The 24,928-nt window shown below is 37.1% G+C and overlaps 1 long non-coding RNA gene across 2 annotated transcripts in view; it reads right to left on the bottom strand.

Annotated features, from left to right (window-relative positions):
• Nucleotides 1-1,280: 1,280 nt before the first annotated feature.
• The window catches only part of LOC105376179 (uncharacterized), a 46,949-nt gene continuing 23,301 nt past the window's right edge, over nt 1,281-24,928 (bottom strand). The window contains exons 4-5 of one of the 2 annotated variants that reach the window (XR_001746575.1): nt 2,579-2,692; nt 1,281-1,352 (exon numbers count right to left, since the gene is read on the bottom strand). This is a non-coding gene — a long non-coding RNA (uncharacterized LOC105376179). The remainder of the gene's footprint in view (nt 1,353-2,578; nt 2,693-24,928) is intronic. The other variant, XR_930178.2, reaches the window with a different exon arrangement.

Raw genomic sequence — 24,928 nt, 5'->3', positions numbered from 1 at the left:
CCATTGCATCCCAGTACCCAACAGTGTCTGATTCACATTCAGTGCTGATTTTATGAGTAAGTGAATGAATAAAACACAGGGCTACTACATCTTATTTCACTTTCACTCCTAACAACTTGACTATTTGAGGTCGTTTAAGGTATCATCACTTTATATACAAGACCTGACCAAAGACCAGGCATGGTGGCTCACACCTGTAATCCCAGCACTTTGGGAAGCCAAGGCAGGTGGATCACTTGAGATCAGGAGTTCAAAACCAGCCTGGCCAACATGGTGAAACCCCATCTCTACTAAAAATACAAAAATTAGCCAGGCATGGTGGCACATGCCTGTAATCCCAGCTACTCAGGAGGCTGAGGCAGGAGAATCGCTTGAACCTGGGAGGTGGAGGTTGCAGTGAGCCAGGATTGTACTGCTGCACTCCAGCCTGGGCAACAGAGTGAGATCCTGTCTAGAAAAAAAAAAAAAAAAGATCTGGCCAAATCTTAATTATGACCAACAAACAAATTTGCAATCCTGGGGGAAAAAAACTGATGCTTTTTTTTCCATGTTGAATTGGTCAGTTAAACAAGGTTTATATATGACAGATAACTTTTCAGAATGGGTACAAGACTCTAACAGACCTTTCCAGCATCATACTGTCTCTATTTTAGATAGTTATGCAGATAGTTTCACTGATATGTTCAAACTGTTTTGTGTCAGGTCTTTTCCTCAACTGTCCTTATTAATGTCTGGTAGATTCAAGGAGACTAACCCCTGGCAACTATTTATTGAAACTAAGAAGTAGTACTTGACTTTTTAAAATTATTTTTCTCCGCATTTGACAAGTTTTATTTTAGAATCTTAAAAGGGGATCCAATTTAGTTGATGGTTTTTGGCCCAATTTCTACATTATTCAGTTAAGCTAACTGGATGTGTTAGATGTGTGAATACTTTAAGACGATGCAAGTTGACACTCTCATTTCTAGGAAATTTGTTCTTTATAGTATGCATAGTTTATTATCTTTTGTCAAACTAATTGAGATTAACAAATTGACATTATAGATGCTATCATTTATTAAGATGTGGCTTCCATCAAATACCATTTATTTATTATTCTAACAATCAATGTAATTAATAGGTATTCATTTTAGAAAATTTGGAAAAGACAGAAAAAAGGAATTATCGACAAAATTCCTCCTATAAATAACCCTGTTATTGCATTTTGCTATATGTTATTTCAGTTTTTTATTTACACATATACATATTCATTCCTTCACTCACCTATTTGACAAATACTCATTTAGTATCACTTGTCAAAAACAAGTGTAGGTGCTGCTGAACAAGACATATACATTCATGAGGTTTGCATTCTAGGGAACAGATAAAACAAATAAATAAGATCAATCAGTTAGTGACAGAACACAAAACAAGTAATGTGACAGAGTGAAAGTCATAAATGGGAGGACAGTGAGGGCTGGCTACTTTAGAGAGGGTTAACAGAGAAAACCTTCGTAAGAAAAAAATGTTTGACCTGAGACCTAAAGCACGAGGAAGGGCCAGACATGGGAGGATGTGTAGGAAGAACATTCCAGGCAGAGGGAGCAGCACATGCAAGGAAGGGTCTGGTTGTTTCTCGTAATTGCCACTAGGTTATTGTGGTTGGAGCTAGAGAATAAAAAGGCCAGGACCTCTCATACGAATTAGGCATTTTAGCCAGCTTTGTGTATACTTTTTTGTTTATGGTATTTTTGACCTAGAGAATTTAAATTTTAGTGTTGTCAAATCAATCTGTCATTTTCCTTATTTCTCCCATTAGAAAGCCTTTTACCTAAACTTCATTCTGAAAAAAACATTCACCCATGTTTTCTTTGGGTACCTTTATTATGTCATTAATACACCCACAGTTTATTATAATATATAGCAGAAGATTTACATGGGAATTTTCCCTAAGTAAATAACTCATGTCTAAGCACAACTTTTTGAATGATCCTTTCTTCTCTGCTTATTTTGATGGTGCCATTAACATATACTTATTTCTTATATTGAAGGCCCGTGAAGAGAAAAGTGATAATAGCAGAGCGATCAAAACAGTTTTTTAGGATATTTATTCTGGCAAAAGTTTGAACCATTTAAACAGAGATTGTCAGGAGCTTGAGAAGTGGAAGATCAACTGAAAAGCTACAGTAGTCATTCAGACAAAAGGTGATAAGGGCTTCAATTAGGACAATAAAACTGAGAATGGAAGGGAAGTCACAGATTTAAAAAAAAAACTGAAAACACCAAATAAATAGAGCTCATCAAATGACTGGAAATCATGGCTGAGAAAAAAATAATTCTGAGCAGAACCCAAAATACAAAGCCTCCACATCTTGATTTGTGTTACGTGTTCAGAATCAAATGTCCACTCTTACTCATTTATTCTGAATTCTAATAAAATATTGGGACAGGGAAAAATCAACTAATCTTTCTTCTTGGCACATTGGAAGCAAAAAAATCACAGAGCCCAGTTACAAACTGAGTCCCATGCTGAATTTAAAATCCCCAATCCCATCTATCCCCACTAATCCCTTCAAAACCTTGCTTATCTAGAATTTACCTCTGTAGGCTGAGTGATACTTGTTTCACCTCCAGCTCTCGAAATCTTCACACTTGTTTCTTTTTCTTTCAGGATAAACAATGTGGCTTCCTTCTGGTCCTCACCTAGATTAGCCTCACCAACAGCAAGAATTTAGTTAATGCTTAGGGTTGTGATAAGTTCTAAGATAGTTCAGTAATTCTTAGCTATAAGTCACTCATCAACTGACTTGATCCAAGTCTTTCTGAGTCTCCAAACTAACACCCATAGTTCTCTGGTAAATATCTCTCTGTAGAAATTTTTCCAACACAATCATGTAGATAAAACAGTTCTCCCCAGGTGTTGATCCTGGTGGTTTCCAAGGTGAAGGAGGCCATCCACCCTCTCTTCTTCTGCCAAATCAGTTTTTCTAGACAGTCAGAATTATAAAAGACTTGAACACAAACACAGAAATGGCATGATGTCATCCACTGCTAACTGTGGCATTGTAATACATAGGGTTATGAAATTATTTGTTGTGTTTACTGTAAAAATGTTGTTTAGACAAAAAAACAAATTGTGGTTGCCAGGGGAGTGACTATTCCATGGGTGTGGGGTTTTCATCTAATGAAAAAGTTCTGGAAATAGATCGTGGGTGCTGATGGTTGCACAATAATGTGAAAGTACTTAATACCACTGAATTGTACATTTTAAAATAGTTAAAATGACAACTGTTATATGTTATGTGTACTTTATCGCAATTTCTAAATGAATATTGTTGATGCCATCATCTAGATTTCAAAATGATCTATCTATAAATATCCATGAGAGGAATGTCTCATTATATTACCAACGTTATGAATTGCATTGTGAATCATATTTCCCTGGAATTCTGGCATACAGGAAGGTTCAATCCAACTTTCATCCCTCTCCTGACAAGTGCATAAGACGTCTTTTTAAAATAACGTTTTATTTTAGGTTCAGGGGTACATGTGAAGGTTTTCTGCTCCTCTCCCTCCTCCCACCCTCCACACCTCCCAGTGTCTGTTGTTCCCCTTCTTATGTTCATGAGTTTTCATCATTTTGTTCCCACTTTTATAAGTGAGAATTTGGTTTCCTTTTCCTCCGTTAGTTTGCTAATAGTAATCTCCAACCCCATCCATGTTCCTGCAAAAGACATGACCCTGTTCTTTTTATGGTTGCCTAGTATTCCACGGTGTATATGTACCATATTTTCTATATCCAATCTGTCATTGATGGGCATTCAGGTTGATACCATGTCTTTGCTATTTTAAATAGTGCTGCAATGAACATTCACATGCCTGTGTCTTTATGATAGAATGGTTTCTACTCCTCTGGGCATACACCCAGTTATGAGATTGCTGGGTTGAATAGTAGTTCTGTTTTCAGCGCTTCAAGAATCGCCATACTGCTTTCCACACGGCTGAACAAATTTACACTCCCATCAACAGTGTATAAGTGTTCTCTTTTCTCTGCAACATCTTCAGCATCTGTTATTTTCTGACTTTTTACTAATAGCCATTACTACTGGTGTGAGATGGTATCTCATTATGGTTTTGATTTCCATTTCTCTTATGACAAGTGATGTTGAGCCTTTTTTTTATATGCGTGTTGGCTGCATATATGTCTTCTTTTGAAAAGTGTCTGTTTATGTCCTTTGCCCACTTTTTAATGGGATTGTTTTTCAATTGTAAATTTAAGTTCCTTGTACATACTGGATATTAGACCTTTGTCAGATGCAGAGTTTGCAAACATTTTCTCCCATTCTGTAGGTTGTCTGTTTACTCTGTTGATAGTTTCTTTTGCTGTGCAGAAGCTCTTTAGTTTAATTAGGTACCATTTGTCAATGTTTACTTTTGTTGCAATTGTTTTTGGTGTCTTTGTCACGAAATCTTTGCCTATTCCTATGTCCAGGATGGTACTGCCTAGGTTGTCTTCCAGGAATTTTGCCTTTTCTGGTACTAAGCTAATTCCAGACTCCCTCATAATTTTGTAACTTTATTTTTCTTTTTTGCCTCATTTTTCATGTCTATTTTCAATTTATTTTATCTTATTACTATTATATGTGGTTTTTTGTAAGATACCTTAAATAATTTTAAGAGCCTGACAGAATATAAATAACCTAAAATCAAAATATGACCAGATATAGTGTTTGCTTATTTTCTCTCTCATAATGTGGTCTCCTTTCCTGGTGTGAACTTCAAAATGGTCCTTGCATTGAGATCTCCAAGATATTCTATTAGATAAGTTGTTATTTGATAATTAACTTACTCACAGTGAACATATTCTTTTTACTGACTTTATTTGCACCTGGTATTTTCCTTTATTAGTGGAGCACCAACCTTCAAGCACCATATTATAAATGCAGTAATAATGATGAAATGTCCTTAACTCTGAGTAATAACCACTGCTAGGAAACTGAATCATACTTCCTCTCTGCCAGGTTTTTACTGCTTTCCATGCTACAAGCAAAAAGCCTTAGCAATGCCTTTTTGTCCTAGAAGTGCAAAAATTTGCTACCTTTTAGAAAAAGAAATAATAGACAACTATAATGTGCATTCTTCTTTTTATGGCAAATTGGAAACATAAAAATAGTTCCTCTTAGCAGCAATGCAAGCTTTTGTCCTTGGAGGATGGGAGAGATTCCCCATAAAACAGAGGTTGGTTACAGTGGCAGATAATACTCTTAAATAGAAATCTCCATGTTTGGCGTAAAACAAATGTTGAATATATGGACATTCAGAATACATCTTGGAGATTAGATGGGTCATCAAGACTGTAGTTCTGACTAATACAGTGACAATATTAATTACTTTATCCATTTGTTCAACAAATATTTGAGCTATATGTACCGGGCACTGTACTATGCCCCAGGGATAAAACAGTGGGAAAAGATGTTTACTCTTTAGTCAAGGAGAGAGATAAATAAGCATACAATTATAATAAACATATTATATTGTGCTAGGAAGCACAATACAGGTGGTTGGGAAAGCTCCTAGAGAAAGTGACATCTACATTGAGATCTGAAGTCAATCTCAGGAGAGGTGGGACTGAACTGGAAACCAAGCGCTTTCCAAACAAAGGGATGAGCACATCCAAAACCCCAAAACAGAGGAGAGGAGAGAATGGTACATTTGACAAACAAGTAGCTCAGTATGTCTGGAACTTAGAGGGCAAAGGAGTGAACAGCTAGAAACAAAGGTGGAGGGGGAAAGCAAAGGACATTTGAAGGAATTTGAGGGTCATTAATATCTAGGGTTTATTCTGAGAAAAGTGGGAACCACTGAGGTTTTAAAGCAAGAGAGAAACATGATCAGATTTACATTTTAGTAATAAACACCTATTATCAGTGGATGGGATTAGAGGAGAGTAAAACATATCAACATTTTCAGAGAGCAAACCATTGCAGCAGTATAGGTAAGAAATGATGAAGACCTAACCTACTGTTGCCTAAATGTTTTGATCATGCACTCATATCATTAAAATAATCTTGAGCAATATGCTCTTATTTTATGCACATTTATATATGTATAAAATATAAATGTGTATTATTGTATTAATAAAACTAACAAAAAATAAATAAATGAAACAAAATAAAATAGATAGAAACAGAAATCCAGTATTTTATTTTACATCCCAAAAGATTGTCTTATACACATCCCCGAATGCACATGCCACACTCTGAAGACCACTGGCCTGAACCAAGAAAGTGGTGCTGAAAATAGAGGAATGTTAATAAATTGGAGAGACAAAGAAGATATACAAGCAAAAATATTTGAATGATTGAAGATAGAGGGAGAAGAAGTGAAATAACAAACACCAGAAACACCTGGGTTTTCAAGGTTTGGGTAGCTGGTGCTATATATTGAGTTATGGTGCACTGGAGAAAAAGTTAGGTTTGGCTGGAAAAAAATAGAGCACCTTTTTGCACATATTGAATTGAGATAGCAAAGCACAGCAAACACTAGTTTAAGCAGATATAATGATTAATATTGAGTGTCAACTTGATTGGATTAAAGGATGCAAAGTATTGTTCCTGGGTGTGTCTCTGAGGACGCTGTCAAAGGAGATGACCTTTTGAGTCAGTGGGCTGGGAAAGGCAGACCCACCCTTAATCTGGGTGGGCACCATCCCCTCAGCTGCCAGTGCAGCTAGAAAAAGCAGGCAGAAGAAGGTGGAATGAGCAGAGGTGCCAAGTCTTCTGGCCTTCATCTTTCTCCCATGCTGAATGCTTCCTGCCTTCAAATATCAGGCTCCATGTTCTTCGGCTTTTGGACTCTTGGACTTACACCAGTGGTTTGCCAGAGGCTCTCGGGCCCTCAGCCCGAGACTGAAGGCTGCACTGTCAGCTTCTCTACTTTTGAGGTTTTGGGACTTGGACTGATCCACTACTGGCTTCCTTGCTCCTCAACTTGCAGACGGCCTATCGTGGGACTTCACCTTGTGATCGCGTGTGTCAATTCCCCTTAATAAACTCCCTTTCATATATACATGTATCCTATTAGTTCTGTCCCTCTGGAGAACCCTGACTAATACAGCAGGTATGGAGAGAGTTTATTGGGGACTGACTTATGGAGAGACAGAAAAGTCACCTCACCTTTCTGGCTGAACTCACGAGTCACAGAATTTTTTTAGTTATGATGAAAACTGGGAATTCTCTTCCTGCCATATACACAAGGATCTCCTTTCTATTTGTGGCTGCATAGTTAGGGAACTCTATGAGACAGAAAACATCAGACTTTCCTTCATGAAGGTATCAATTTCCCTTAAGAATCTTGGCCTTCCATAAGAATGATACAGTGGAATTTGGGGACTCTGGGGAAAGGATGGAAGAGGGAGAGGGATAAAAGACTGCATTGAGTACAGTGTACACTGTTCGGGTGATGGGGGCACCAAAATCTTAGAAATCACTACTAAAGAACTCATCATGTAACCAAACACCATCTGTTCCCCAAAAACCTATTGAAACTTAAAAAAAAAATTTAAAAAAAGATTCTTGGCCTTCAGGTCTGGTATTCTATTAATCCACTACATCAGGGTTTAGTAATGGGTACCATTAGTTAAAATACCTGAAATGTAATATGTTCCTTAAATGAAGATAGGCTTTCTGTGACCTCTAAACTCCTGTACTTCAAGGCAACTCATTTAGAAGCTAGAACATCTATTCTAATATAAAATTGGGAAGCTCTAACAACATAAAAATATCTACTATGTACTTGAATGCATCTAATGTCATACAGAGAGCTAATGGAGAAGTCATCTGAAAGCTCCCAATGTCAGTCACTGAGGCCCACTGTGGACGCCAATTATTTTGTGGAGAAGACAGAAAAAGTGTAAAGAAAGGACCAAAGCCATGTATATACTTTTACCCTTACCTTTAAGATGTTTAACTGATCTCTTCCTAATTCTCAAATGAGTAAAGTAGTGACTAAAGATTAATGTCAGATGTATTACCATGTTTTTTGGTTTTGTTTTTGTTTTTACTTGTTTGTTTTTGTTTTTTGAGATATAGTCTCGTTCTGTCACCCAGGCTGGAGTGCAGTGGCACGATTTCGGCTCACTGCAAACTCTGCCTCCCAGGTTCAAGCGATTCTGATGCCTCAGCCTCCCAAGTAGCTGGGATTACAGGCGCACACCACCACACCTAGCTAATTTTTGTATTTTTAGTAGAGGCAGTGTTTCACTATGCTGGCCAGGCTGCTCTCAAACTCCTGACTTCCAGTAATCCGCCTGCCTCAGCTTCCCAAAGTGCTGGGATTACAGGCATGAGCCACCCCACCCAGCTCTCTTACCATGTTTTTATCTTATGTTAAAAAGGCATCAAGATTTATCATTGTTAGAAGAGAAGTTGTTATTTCATTGGAGGAGGTTGATTTTCTGGTGCAGATACATTCTCACTTGAAGCTCACAATAGCCATATTCAGGCAACTGTGGAAACACTACCTGAAAAGCAGAGAGTACCGCTGATCCTCACCATTACACCATGGCGTCTCACTGGCTTACCCAGCAATGCTGAGTGAGTATTGCTCTCATATACGTTTTAAGGATGGCAAGAATAAAAAAAATAAAAAATAAAAGAAACACTGCTATTGCAAAATTTAAGAGTTCAAAGAGGCAGTGGTTTTCACTAAGTCACCTAGACCATGAGTACAGGAAGTAAAAATAAACGTAGATTTCCTACCACCCAGTCCAGAACTTTTGCACTATAGCACATATGCAACCATACTCACATGTGCACATGCACACAGAATAACAAGAGCTCAGCTTTACAACTGCCAGGCAAGAAATGCACCACGTTACACTGAAGAAGCCGTGAAAGCAGAAAAATCAATCTACCATTTTAATGAAAAAATGTGAGAAACTGAGATGAGGTATGGTGCAATCACTTTGGGCAGATTTGGCTGTTTGGCTATTAATCATTTCTCTACTGTGCAGTCAGCACAACTAAGTCTATTCAGCGTATTGTTGGGGCCACTGTAGAGACGCTGTAACCAAGTCAGATGAGATTATTAAACCATCATTGTATCCTAAGGACCAAGAACTGTGCAAAAAATTGCAGTTTTCAAGTGAAAAAGATTAACTCTAGGAAAAAAACAATCATTTTCCCCAGGACTGGAATATTGAAATTTCCTCACATGACAACTTACATTCTAGCAATTACAAATCTTGGATTTAAGATAAAATTTTATACCAAATCTAAAATCAATCTTCTATCACTTTCTGTTTAAAGAAAGTACAAATAAGATAATACCTTATAACCTCTCATTATAAGCTATTATCAGGTTAATACTTTATAATGAGAGTCTTAAATTTGCTTATAGATCTAATTATTTTTCTTTATCTTTGCCTTCTGCTCCCAAACTAATTTAGAGACCTCAGTGACTGCCTCAGAGGCCATCACACTATCCTTCCTAGTGTTTGATACTTACAGAATCATTCTGCTGACTACTGAGTTACCTAGAGAATACGGAGTATTTTCTAACAAGCCTTTTAAATCCACCCATCTGAGCCTATGGTATTAGTCAGAGTTCTCTAGAGGGATAGAACTAATAGGATAGATATATACATATATAAAGGGGATTTTATTAAGTATTAACTCACATGATCAAAAGGTCCCACAACAGGTCGTCTGCAAGCTGAGGAGCAAGGAGAGCCAGTCCGAGTTCCAAAACTGAAGAACTTGGAGTCCAATGTTTGGGGAACAGGAAGCATCCAGCACAGGAGAAAGATGTAGCCTGGGAGGCTAGGCCAGTCTCATATTTTCACATGTTTCTGCATGCTTTATATTCTAGCCTCTCTGGCAGCTGATTAGATGATGCCCACCCAGATTAAAGATGTGTCTGCCTTTCCCAGCCCACGGAGGGTGTTACCCAAATGTTAATCTCCTTTGGCAACACCCTCACAGACACACCCAGGATTAATACTTTGCATCCTTCAATCCAATCAAGTTCACACTCAGTATTAACCGTCACATTTATTGAATACCTAAAATACACAAGATCTTGAAGCAAAAGCCTAAGTATTGGAAGTCAACAGTCAATAGAAGCAATAGTGCCTTCAAGGACCCATCTCCACTAACCCCCTCTACAAGTCTCAGAGCTCCACACTCTCTATATCCAAGAATCCTTCATGGGAACAGATGTCACTGGTGGTGCATCCAATGTTGCTGCCCCTTCTTGAACAAAGGTTGGTTGGCATTGGTTCACCAACTTCAAGAGCTGGTCCAAGGTAAATGTGTCAAGTCTCAGCAGCAACCCAGCAAGCATAAATAAGATCCCTTTTCTCAACACCATATTCCCTCCTAAGAGAGAGTCAACTAAAGCAGGGGCTTTCTTCATATTAATTCAACTATTTTCTATTGCTTAGTGAAGGCAAAATCCAGAACACAAAAACAAAAAGATGCATTTGCTGAGGAATAGAATATTTTCTCTACTTTCTTTACCTAAACCTTAATCTCATTGCAATCCTAAACATCTTTAGCTTTTTATGACCTCTTCCCTTTATACTCTGTCCCAAGGCTGGGATAATTATAACAATATCCTTTTAAAAATATCTTTGTGTAATACAGATTTGCTACCCCAATATTGCAGCAGCCATGGCTTGGGCTTTAGTGGCCTCTGTATATGTGCACGCTGTGTTACACCACCCTGAGCTCAGCCTTCCTGTCCCCTCTGTTAATGCCATGAGCTCTCCACCCTCTAAAAAGGCAGCTGTTTGCTTTTGTATATAAGGTATTAACCTGATAATACCTTATCTCATTTGTTACTTACCTTCTCAACTGCAGCAGCAAAATCACATCATGATTCACTAAGGGTCTACGTGACCTCACATTTGGCAATATTGTCCCAGGATAAAAACCTCACTGACCACAATTTGGGTCCTCTAAATGCCCATCCTTAACACACTGGCCACAAAATCTGAGACTTCACTTGTTCTAGGTTCTTCTGGTTTGGATGTCCAACCTGTCTCACTGTCAAATCCACTGACCAGTCTATCCACAGGACCAATACTGGCCTCAGACTAACTGTTAAATATTTGTGACCTCAAAAACTCCTAAAATATGATATGAATGTGTCTCCCTGTCAGATTCTTCTAAGTGTGGTAGGCAGAATTCAAATCTGTATGCATGCAGTTCAAGGCTATTTTATCCCAGTCCTATTGTTTGGGGTACAGAAGAATCTCTTTGGGATAAAGGGCCCAAATAATCTGTAGAAAGATCATTCTCTAGAAAACTACACTTCATTCCATAGATTTATCTTGTTTCTACATTTCAGCTTATCCTTTTACCATATTTAGTACATAGAGGAAAGTTTTGACTTCATATTTAGAGCAAGTGGGTGGGGCTCCAAAAGAAAATTTTCAGAAAATCAAATCTTCTAATTTTTCCTATCAGCTCTTTCCAGGAAAACAATTACATCTGCATAGGCCAAATGCTGAGTTTGTACACAAAATGGTCATCAATTTTGTACAGATTAATAAAAGTATATTCATTCAAATCCCATTAATTTGAGATTTCTCCTGAAGTCAGATGATTTCCCTGTATTACGTGAGGAAAAAAATGCCATCCCAAGCATATTAAGACAAAGTGACAGGGGGACTACATATGATATCAATCTTCAATCTCTTCTAAGTACATTTTTAAAGCACTCCTAGAAGTATCAGTGTACACATATCACAACATTCTTCATTCATTGTTGAGTCCAATTATTGTTGAATATTTTGTTTTTACCAAATAGCTGCCCTCGAAGAATTTACAATCTAGTAGCCACAAACTACAAATTTCCTTAGTTATAAATCATCCTGGTTATTGGATTTTTTAATTATATAATACTGCACACGGACAAAAGAAAGTCTATGTACATACATTATAAAGCATAACAATGAAAAATAAATATCCTATGATTCTACAACCTAGCCTAAGAACTAGAATATTCCCAGCATCCTTGTACTCACCTCAATGCCCCTTTCTTATTCTCTCATCTGCTTCTTTCCCCATCCCAACCAGAACTAACCACTATCCTGAAATTTTGTGTTTATCATTCCTCTACTTTTCTTATAGTGTTATTCCATATGTATGTATTCCTAAACACTAAATTAAGCTTTGCTTTTTTCAAACTTTTTTTAAAAATGACATTGTACTGTATGAAAACCAGATTTTGTAATCTGCTTTCTTCATTCAGTATTTTTAAGATTTATTCATGCTATAACTGTATAGCTGTGATTTGTTCATCTTCACTACTGTATATTATTCCATTTTATTTATCTAGTCTCATGATAATGGACATTTGGGCTGTGACCAGTATTTTTCCATTACAAAAAACACTGCTAGGAACATTTTTGCACATTTGTGGTGTTTATAAACAAGCGTATCTCTAGAATATACCTAGAAAGAGAAATTCTGGGACCTGGAGCATATTCAAGTTTGCAAGTACTAAAGTATTTCCAAAATGGCTGTATCAATTTATAGTTCCCTCAGCAAGGTATAGTTTTCCATTGATCTATACTCACTTCAACAGTTAATATTGGTAGATTTATCTTTTAAATTTTGTGAATTTAGTGAATGTGAACGTTATATCATTGCAATTTTAATTTACATTTCAATGATTATCAATAAAATTGAGCACATTATCATATATTTACTAGCCATTTGAATTTATTTTGTGAAATGCTTGTCGAAGTCTCAGAAATTTTTATATCAGATTGCCTGTCTTTCTCTTACTGATTCGTTGGTGTAATTTATATATTAAAGATACTGGTCCTTGGTCAGTTACATGTGCTGCAAATTACTTTTCTTAGTTTATGACTTGTCTTTTCATCCTACTTATGGTGTTTTGTAGTGAATAAAAAACCTTTATTTTAATTTAATTGAATTTATCAGTCTCTTCTTTTATGATCAATTTTTTATGTCTTAAGAAATCATATCCACCTCTGAGACCATACAGGTAAAAAATCACTGTTCTTATAAATTAATTACTTGTCCTTACAAATAGTATAACTTTATTTCTTTTAAACTATTCTATAACTTTGACCAGTGTTTATTTGCCAAAGTGTATTTCTAGGACCACCTGCATCAGAATCACCTAAGTATTTTTAAAATGCTAATTCTCAGGCCCCATTTTTTTTTTCCAGCAGATATTTAAGTAGCTTTTAAATGCTTGGTTCTAAACTTGAGAACACAAAAGTAAATAAAATAGACAAAACACCTCAAGATTATGTGACATGGAAACAACAGGTGCTGGAAAGGCTGTGGAGAAATAGGAACAATTTTACACTGTTGGTGGGACTGTAAACTAGTTCAACCATTGGGGAAGTCAATGTGGCGATTCCTCAGGGATCTAGAACTAGAAATACCATTTGACCCAGCCATCCCATTACTGGGTATATACCCAAAGGATTATAAAACATGCTGCTATAAAGACACATGCACACGTATGTTTATTGCAGCACTATTCACAATACCGAAGACTTGGAACCAACCCAAATATCCAACAATGATAGACTGGATTAAGAAAATGTGGCACATATACACCATGGAATACTATGCAGCCATAAAAAATGATGAGTTCATGTCCTTTGTAGGGACATGGATGAAGCTGGAAACCGTCATTCTCAGCAAATTATCGCAAGGACAAAAAACCAAACACGGCATGTTCTCACTCATAGGTGGGAATTGAACAATGAGAACACATGGACACAGGAAGGGGAACGTCACACACTGGGGCCTGTTGTGGGGTGGGGGGAGGGGGGAGGGATAGCATTAGGAGACATACCTAATGTTAAATGACGAGTTAATGGGTGCAGCACACCAACATGGCACATGTATATATATGTAACAAACCTGCACTTTGTGCACATGTACCCTAAAACTTAAAGTATAATTTAAAAAAGAGATTATGTGACTTACATGTATGGGCAGAAAGAAACAACAAATAAATACAATTCAGTCTGGGCATGGTAGCTCATACCTGTAATACCAGCATTTTGGGAGGCCGAGGCGGGCAGATTACTGGAGGCCAAGAAACCCCTTCTCTACTAAAAATACAAAAATTAGTGAAGCGTGGTGGCACATGCCTGTAGTGCCAGCTACTCAGGAGGCTGAGGAAGGAAAATTGCTTGAACCGGGAGGTGCAGGTTGCAGTGAGCCGAGATTGCACCATGGCAATCCAGCCTGGGCAGTAGAGAGAGATTCTGCCTAAATAAAATAAAATAAAATTCGTAGTATGCCATCTTCCCATTTGTCTTCCTCTCTTTATTTCTCTACTCTGGGACTCTCAATTTTTCTGACTCAGGTCTTTTACACTGACTGTAACACCATGGCAAGGATGTCTTCACAGACGTTGCCAGAAAAATTGCAACTATGACATATGTTTTAGCCTTGAGGATTTCATTTTAGGGAGAGCTGTTAGCATAGGGCAATGAACAACGTACTAGTAAACTCTTGTAAACTCTCGCCTCTTCTAACGTATAGAGCAAGTAACCTCAATAAATATTTCTATCAACTTAGTAGAAGACCATCATCTTGATTGATGTTTAAATAGCTGATCAGATTAATATATACACTAAGTATTAATGCAGCTACTCCAAAATCTGAGGCCCTTGCTTTCTTCAAGAAATAAACATTTTTTCTCATTTGACAAGATCAGTGCTGATTTAAAGGCAAATTGAGACCTTATGGTTTAAACTTACAATAGAAATATTCAAAATTGATAATTATGGAAACTGCACTTTAGGAAAACTCAAAGATTGAACCAAGACAGAAAAAAGATCCCATATCTAATATTGCTTACTGTGCAGATTATTCATTTGCAATTTAGCTCCAAAATCCCTTTACGTTCTCACTTGTGTCTCAAGGGATGACAGCCTGGGAACTACATTTCCCAGAATCCTTACAGCAGAGTTCTGGTTAGAGAATGGCAATGAGAAGCTTCTAATCTTGTGCATGATTAGAAGGTAAGACAGAAGGAACTGCTACGTCATTGTTCCCCCAGCAGCAGTGGATGGACATATGCAGGATTTGAAAGGACTTCTACATGAACTTCCTAACTTGGTGCTGCAGGAACTCTGTGAGGTTCCTGCAACTTTCTGATTTCCTGAAAGTGAACCTGAGAGCTAGTGATGGCCTTCCTTGAACTTGTATACCCCTATCTTTTCCAAAGGTTTAGAAAACACCCAATTACCTATATTAATTGCTTGAAATACCTACAGTGATTTCTGTTTTCTACACTAAACCTTGGATAATACACCATATCATTCCACTTCATTTTCTTTCTTTCTTGATTTCTAAATTCCCAAATCAGAATTAATTTGATTGATAAGCTTCAAAACACAGATGACTCCTTCCCCCATTCCCAAATTGGAGATCTGAAACCTCAGAAAATCTAAACTTTAAGTGAAATGATGATTGGGAGCCCAATAGATCCTTTAAAATACAGAAGAAGAAAAAACATAAGAATTTATATTTTATTTCATTCTTACAGTGACCATGAAATTTTCACGATTCATAAATTTCTGTGTACACGTACTGAGCAAGATTGCCTTTTTTAAGCATTGTATATTTTAACATCTGATTTAGAGAATTAAATTTGCTAAACTTTAAAGGCGTATTTCTACTAAAGGCCAATTTACTGAACATCAGAAATATGTCTTCCAATTTAGCATCTGTACTAGTTTTGGGAGGCTGTCATAATAAAGTACCACAAACTGGTGGCTTCAAACAACAAAAAGTTATTGTCTCAGTTCTGGAGGCAAGATGAGGAAGTCTAAGATCAACATGTCAGCACAACCCTCTGAAGGCACTAGGGAAAGATCTGTTGCAGGAGTTTGCTGGCAACCTTTGGTGTTCCTTAGCTTGCAGGTGCATCAGCTTGATTTTCCTTGTATGTGTGTATGTCTGTGTCCAAATTTCTCCTTTTTATAAGGACATTAGTCATATTTCATCAGGATCCATCCTAATGACTTTATTTTAACTTAACTAATTAAATCTGCAATGACCCTATCTCCAAATTATTCACATTCTCAGGTGCTGAAAGTTAGGGTTCCAACATCTCTTGGTGGGGAGACACAACTCAACACATAACAACATCCTTCAAAATTGTCTCTCAGCAGGGTCAAAGCAAGACAGAGAAAACACTGATAGACTGCAAGCCATATTCTCAAGCTGGTAAAATCCTAACAATAAAATATAAGTAAATTTTAATCCTTTTTCTTCTCACATATCACAGAAGTGAAAAAAAAATGGTAACTCTAGATTACCCATGAAGATGGGCAGTTTGGGGCAGATAAGGAGCATTAAGAAAGTTATACAGAAGACCTGGATTCAACCATGTACTTGAATTTGTTAGTGATGTAAATTTGCACAAGAACCTGCTGTCTAAACTTCCATTTCTCCATCAGTAAAATAGGGAAAATAACTTCCATACCAGCAGCAGTTCCATAATTTTGAAACAGGAGAGTTCCCTTGCACACCCCCCCACCCCGCCTCAGGACGTCCAACAGGGTTGTGGCTCATCTGTTCGGCCACGGCGTGCACTCAAACCCCTCATGGGAGCGGGAGCACACAGATGGGCAGGTGCAGGAGCTGAGGTGAGTGCCCCTGGGCTGTAGCCCCACAGCAGTGTCCACGGGTGGGAGCCTGTGACTCCCAAAGCACAAGTGAGTATGTATTACAGTGCACTCCTTTAGCTTTGCCATCCGTGGATGGCTTAAGTGTTAACCAACTCAGTGCCCTCTTGGTACCCAGGTCCTTGTCTGGCATCGAGGAAGAATAAGGTGGCATACGGACTTGAAGGATGAATGCAGGGGTTTTACTGAATGGTGGAGGTGACTCTCAGTGGGATGGATGGGCAGCTGGAAGGGGGATGGAATGAGAAGACAACCTTCCCCTGGAGTTCGGCCATCCAGTGGCCTATCTCCTCCACAGCCAAACTCCTCTCGGGGTTCATATTCTCCTTCTCTTCTCTCTGCCCTGCCGTTCTGCCATTCTTCTGCTCTTCTGTTCATTTCCTCGTGGAGCTGGGACTTTGGGGTTTACATGGACACAGGATGGGGGGTGTGGCAGGCCAAAAGTCAACTTTTGGGCTCAAAAACAGGAATATCTGTTCTCATGTAGGGCCACAGGTTTCCAGGCTTGAGGGTGGGGCCTTTGCCAGGGAACTGCCCTCTTCTACTCAGTATTTCCTTGTCTCCTGTTTTTGTCAGTTTCTGTATAGGAGTTCCATAGAAGCAATCACATTGGAAAAGGGATTAGAGGTAGTACTTGCACAGCATTTTACATAGAGGAAATACCAGTTTTCCATTTCAAACTATAAGAGGAGTTATTTTGAAAAATTGTGTGGAAACGCACTTTGAGACAATATAAAACTATATAAAGGCCAGGAGCACTGTCTCACACCTGTAATCCCAGCACTTTGGGAGGCCGAGGCAGGTGGATCACCTGAGGTCAGGAGTTCAAGCGAGACCAGCCTGGCTAACATGGTGAAACCCCATCTCTACTAAAAAATACAAAAATTGGTTGGGCATGGTGGTGCATGTCCCAGCTACTCGGGAGACTGAGGCAGGAGAATCGCTTGAACCCAGGAGGCAGAGGCTGCAGTGAGCCGAGATCATGCCACTGCACTCCAGCCTTGGCGACAGAGTGAGACTGTCTCAAAAAATAAAAAAAAAATAAAAAGCTGTATAAAGTCATTAAAGTCCTCATTATATACTTTGTGGATTATCTTTGGTAATCCAATTTTCAACTTACTTTAAAAGTTTTCAGTAATATTAATAGTTATAACCACTACTATTTACCTAATATCTTTAAATAATTGATTTGATTCTAAGTTTAGAATAATACATAGTCATCATAGAAAACTTACCATTCAGAAAAAAACACACAGAAAAGTAATTTAATATCAACTATGGCCCCCAAACCAAAAATATGTTCTGCTGCCTTTTTGCTTTTGTATCTCATCAAGACTCTTTTACAGGTAAGTTTCAAAACAGAAGAGAAGACCCCTCTGTTTGTGCCTGTAGGGACAGAGGAGGAGTTATAAACTGGAGTCAAACTTTATGTTGTAATGTATAACCTTTTTTTTCTTCTAACAATATATTGTGACCATTTCTCCATCTCATTAAATACTCTTCTCCAATATCATTTCTAAAGACTGCATAGTATTATTCTATAGTATGAACATACCGTAATTTATATTAGGATTACCTGCTATTTTCATTTTTTGTTATAATATATAACAATATAATATCCATTATTGAACATAAATTTTGATGTAATCATAATTTCTTTTTTAAAAATTCTATAAGAAAACTTCAGTTACAAAATATGATAATATTTTTCATATGAGTAATTTTTATACATAACATTATACTTCATTTTATTTGTGCTCACCAAAATGGGTTTTTCTTTTGTCTTTGCAAATTCACTGGTAAAAATATAGTATGTAATAGTTGTTTCAAATGAAGCTTTTTAATTACAAGTAAAATTGAGCGTGCTTTAATAAACATCTCCATTTACAATTTTTAGTGTGTATGAAATGTCCCATTATAGTATGGTACATTGGAACGTTGTCTTTTTTATATTGATTATTATAGGATAAAAATAATAATGCCTTATGTGTCAGATATGTTGCAAATAATCCCAACTTATTTGTATGCACTTTGTAGTGATTTTATAAATATCCATAAACCTTAGATTTTTAAGCAAATGGCTGTGAAAATCTTTTTATTTATGATTCTGCTTCTGCATATAGATTTAGAAAACCTTTGCCCAGCCTAAGGTTAGGAAAATACCCAACATTTATTCTTGAAGATTTTTTGTTTCATGTTTTACATTTAGATCTTTTCTTTAATTATAACAGCTATTTTATATATATATTAAAAATCATAAAAAAATTTAAGCCACATAGAAATGAACAAAAAAAATGTCTTTTCCAGTCTCCACCTCTACCCACCTCAAGTCCTATGTCACAGAGAGGTTTGATTCAGAATACCTCCTTCCAGATCTTATTAAAGCATGTAAATATAAAATACTTTTCTTTTTGTTTATCTAAATTTCCCAATGTGTATAAATGAACACATAGTGCTCACCTTTAAAAGAAAAAAGAGAAGCTTTGAAAAAATAAAATGGAAATTTTATTTCGAGATATCTTAGGTGTATCTCTGGAATTGCATGGGCAAAGGAAGACAGAGCTACCCTTAGTGGGGAGAAAGGCAACATTTGTTTGTATATTGCAATAGAAATATTCACTATGTTTATTACCAGACTCGTTACTATTCAACTGGACAAGAACTAACTAGCTCAGTTCTTGGCACACAATAGCTCCTCAATAAATATTAATTATTAATTAATTAGACAATAAAGTAGTTTCCAGGAAACATCATTTGGGACTGGAGATTCTTGATTAGGAAGCTGTGAGGGCACAGGTGGTGTTGTCATTGCTTCTTCCAACTAACAGTTGGGAGTTTCAAAGAGAAAGAAGGCTATGGGAGGTGAAAGGCTGGCTATGCAGATGGTGTCAAAGAATGTAATTTATATTTCTGGACCACAGTCTAAAACACCAAAATGATAAGCTTTTGGCTAAAAATGCAATGCATATTAGTAAATCATGGAAGCATATGTTTGTCCAAAAATGAGCTAACCTGGTTAAAAGGTCCTGAGAATGGAGCAGGGGATCTGGACACAAGTTGAAGTTTTGCCTCAATTAAACTTTATTTTAAGCCAAATCATTGTACTAATTTTGTACTAGCCAATTTTTAAATGACAAGACAATGTCTAAGGGCTCTTCTAATCTTAATATTCAATGTGTCTCTAAAGAGGGAGGGAGAAAATAAGAAACTGAAGTGTGTATCCACTTACTATGGAGACCCAATAAAAATAACCTGGTACACCGTGGTGTCCACAAAACAGCAAGTTTTAAAATATTCAGAAATAACAGTCATCGCCTTAGATGATTATATACTACTATGTAGAGTGTAAGTAGAGAACACAGAAATCTCGATATTGTAAAAACAAAACAAAAAACACAAATGCAACATCATTGTAGTCCTCAGACTTGATAAGCAGCTGCATGGAAATGGAATATTGTGACTTATGTGAAGGAAGGAGGGGAATAATTTTATTGTGTGTTGATAAGTTATACACCTGCTCAAAGATTCTTAAATGTGAAGGTGATATCTAGAAGAATACATGTGTAAGGATAAAAGAAGAGATCAACTCTAATAATATATTTATCCATTCATGCATTTAACCTGGATGATATTCAAAACATTTAAAACATTTATCAATGGGTATAGTATAGCAAATCAGAATGTAAGCTTCCGCCCATCAAAAGAGATACAAGCTTTAAACTAATGGCATAATGGTGTGGGGCACCTGGTGCACATACGCAAGCTATCATGTCTGCATTCAGCAGTTGAGCACATAAAAGCAGTGTGTGCGTGCGTGCGTGCGTGTGTGTGTGTGTATAAAACTACATGGAACCCTTTTCACTACATATATCCCTACCTTACATAACATGTTAGGTCAAAATTATTGCTAATAAAATTTTAAGATCACATATTTTCTTTTTTATTTTATTTTATTTCTTTTTTATTTTCTTATTTATTTTATTATTTTATTTATTATTTTATTTATTTATTTATTTTCTTATTTATTTTATTTCCTTTTTTATTATACTTTAAGTTCTAGGGTACATGTGCACAACGTGCAGGTTTGTTACATATGTATACATATGCCGTGTTGGTTTGCTGCGCCCATTAACTCGTCATTTACATTAGGTATATCTCCTAATGCTATCCCTCCTCCTTCCCCCCACCCACAACAGGCCCCAGTGTGTGATGCTCCCCTTCCTGTGTCCACATACACCATGGAATACTATGCAGCCATAAGATCACATATTTTCTCACCGAGAAAAAATTTTGAAACCCTCATTTGATTTAAAAACTCATTTTACTATAAATGTTTGACTTAATTCTGTTTCACTGGTTTAAAAAAACCCCACAAATTCATTTATACCATGTTTTATTTATTTTTGGAATAATGGAGTAAAACATCCAATATATGTACGTATTTCTCCATGCCTTTCTGAACTTTGAAAGATCCAGTCCCTCAAGATTAATCCTAACTGACTAACTGGGCCTAAATTCAAATTAGACCCAAACAGTCATTTGCTTACTAGAGGTCACACACCTACTCTGAGTTCCAAAAGAACCGGCACATCTTCTTAACTTTGGAACTTTCATAGCTACCTGTGTTTATGCTACCTGAGCTAACCAATAGGCTGTGACCTACATTGGCCAATCATAACCCAGCAAGCATCGACCACAGTTCAACAAACACCAACTAATCAGAGTAAGCAAATTTGAACACTTCATTTACATAAGTGAACCTGAATAGAAACTTTCCCAATAAAAGACAAACCCTCCCTTTATTCTCTGGAACACAGCTTTATTTTTCAACAAAGTCTGCTGGATTTCACCAAAGGCTCCTGTTGCCCTCATTTGCAAACTCTTCACTGAAATAAAGTATCTTTCCTCTAATTTCTTTTCAAATAACTTTTGTTCATACCTTACATACATGATATGTATTTCTCTTGCCTTTACACATAAACTCTAATTTAAATAGGCATTAAATTGGTAAGGTCTCAAAAGTTTCCTTATAGATTCGAAATCAGTGTCCCATTGTTCTTCAGCATTTATCCTTTCTAAGGAGAATTCTGAGTCAGGAAGATTTTTATTCCTTTGCAGGTAAACATCATATGCAATGAGATTATATCCCTTTCAACTGAGTAAATTTTGCCAGTAACTATCCAGGTATGGTTTTCTTTTTAATTTTTAATTCTCTTTTTCATTTTTTATAAACTCCTTTCAGGAAACATTTCTGCTTTCGTCTCTATGATTTCTGTTTCCTTTTCTCTATTCTTTCCTCATACTATTCTTTCCTTTTTCAAAAGACCTATACCTCTTATCAACAAATAGTTTTCTAAAATATGTACATATGTTTTATAAATTTTTTGTTTAAATATATTTATAAATATATACTATAATAAATAAAATATAAATATTGTAATAAATATATACATGATAAAATATAAATATTTTTATAAATATATACTCTCTCCATATATATATTTATATATATCCATTTATATATATATATATATATATATATATATATATATATATATATACACACACATAATTTTTAGCCTCAGCCTCTGAGTCAGGCTATTTCCTTTTCCTGGCTCTGATGCAATTTTTCTGTTGGCCTCATGTTGCTGTGGCAGATGTTGCTGTGGTTGTTGCTGTTGCTGTTGTTGTCTTCATCATCAGATGAGAAGCAGTCTGCCTAGATATCATGTTTTTCAACAAACAGGTTTTTTTTATTTCCTTGACTTTGTTCTATGTACATTTAGACAATGATGAAATCCCCTTTCTGGGATCTAAAAACGAAGAGCAGGTTGATATACCCAATTATGGCTAATAAGTGGCAGATTAGAATACGAAAACAGCTCTTTTGACTCCATAATTTTTCTTGATGCTACACTATAAGAAGAATCTAATGTACCCAGGTATGGCATTGTGATAAAGCAGTGATGCTAATTTTAAAAATGTATGTCTATGTGAGTGCGTATGTAAATATATATAATATATAATGACAGTCCGTCCTATAAATACTATTCTATAACAGAAGAGGATTCAAAATAACACAAACCAAAAAGAAAAAGCAACACTAAAGTCAAAGATGATATACTAAAATATATTGTTACCAACATGATGTGAGCAGAGCTCAGTATAGCTTATGCAAAGAGTAACCCAAAGGGTACTTTGCATTGAAGTAAATCAAAGGACTTCTTTCAAATTCATAATATATGCTTGATAATTCTCCTCCCTTTGGTTTTCACATTTGCCCTAAAAGAGACTGGAGAGTTGTGTAATTGCAAAATGACGTGCAGCACGAAGAGTGATTTTTTTTTCATTTTATGCCATCCACTGATTAAGTGATCCAGTTTTCAACAATGTCAGCAATCTTTAAGGAAATCAGAGATTAAATACTGTATAAAAAATGTACAGAGGAGGCAAATGAATAAATTGTTTTTTAGGACTTGCAGAAACTTGATAATGGAATTTCATGTTTAAATTAAAAACTAATTCACCTTTGAATAATGATGATATTAGCAATACCCAAAACTATTGCCCTGTAGTGCATTTCCGGTATGCCTTCTATGGTCCTTACGTGGCAAGTCCTTTATGTTATGCATATTTATAATCTTGATTCTTTGGGGGACCATGGTCATACAGGATCACCTTGAACTCAACTTTGTAGAAAAGTCTAGAAACCACTCCTACAATAACATTAACCTGTTCACTAGCCTTGCTAAATATTTAATAAGCACCAAATTGTTAAGAAGCCAAACTAGCATGACCTTACAGTCTCTTTAAAAGTTTAAATGCAAGTTTCCACCATTTAATTGTAAAAATATAACTAAATTTTTGTATCTGATTCAGTCACCTAATAACCCATCAAAAATTTGCTACTCAATTCTAAGCAGATTATTTAGCTTATGCTTTGCTAGTTTGAATAAAACAAAGTAATTCAAACAAATTTCCTTCCACTCCCTCAAGATTATATAGGCAAAAACCACTTGGATTCAGATCCATGACTTTTGAATTATGTATTGTTTATTTTTTTCTTTATATAAAATAGTAGTTTAATTATACTGATTTAAATTTTTTTCAAATAAAATAATGAAGATCATCAGCAGTATTTCCACCATTAAAAATAATTGTGGTAGGGACTTGCTGGCAAGATGGCCAAATAGGAACAGCTCTGGTCTGCAGCTCCCAGTGAGATCAATGCAGAAGGTGGGTGATTTCTGCATTTCCAACTGAGGTACCCAGTTCTTCTCATTGGGACTGGTTGGACAATGGGTGCAGCCCATGGAGGATGAGCCAAAGTAGGGTGAGGCGTCATCTTACCCAGGAAGCACAAGGGGTTGGAGGATTTCCCTTTCCTAGCCGAGGGAAGCCCTTAGAGACTGTACCAGGAAGAAGAGTGCACTCCAGCCCAGATACTGCACTTTTCCCATGGTCTTCACAACCAGCAGACCAGGAGATTCCCTCTGGTGCCTGGCTCAGCAGGTCCCACCCCCACAGAGCCCAGCAAGCTAAGATCCACTGGCTTGAAACTCTTGCTGCAAGCGCAGCAGTCTGAGGTCGACCTGGGATGCTCAAGCTTGGTAGGGGGAGGGACATCTGCCATTGCTGAAGCTTGACTAGGCATTTTTACCCTCACAGTGTAAACAAAGCCGCCAGGAAGTTCAGACTGGGCAGAGCCCACCTCAGCTCAGCAAGGCTGCTGCAGCCAGACTGCATCTCTAGATTTCCTCCTCTCTGGGCAGGGCATCTCTGAAAAAAAGACAGCAGCCCCAGTCAGGGACTTATAGATAAAACCCCCATCTCCCTGGGACAGAGCACCTGGGGGAAAGGGTGGCTGTGGGTGCAGCTTCCGCAGACTTAAATATCGCTGCCAGGCAGCTCTTAAGAGAGCAGCAAATCTGCCAGCATAGCATTTGAGCTCTGATAAGGGACAGGCTGCCTCCTAAAGTGGTTCCCTGACCCCCGTGTATCTTAACTGGGAGACATGTCCCAGTACTGGCTGACAGACACCTCATCTGGAGAGCTCTAACATCTGGCAGGTTCCCCTCATCTGGCAGGTTCCCCTCTGGGACCAAGCTTCCAGAGGAAGGACAAGGCAGCAATCTTTGCTGTTCTGAAGCCTCTGCTGGTGATACCCAGGCAAACAGCATCTGGAGTTGACCTCCAGTAGACTCCAGCAGACCTGCAGAAAAGGGGCCTGACTGTTACAAGGAAAACTAA

The sequence above is a fragment of the Homo sapiens genome, chromosome 9, assembly GCF_000001405.40.
Source record: "Homo sapiens chromosome 9, GRCh38.p14 Primary Assembly".
NCBI classification, from domain to species: Eukaryota; Metazoa; Chordata; class Mammalia; order Primates; family Hominidae; genus Homo; species Homo sapiens.
This window is presented reverse-complemented; position numbering and strand designations above follow the sequence as displayed.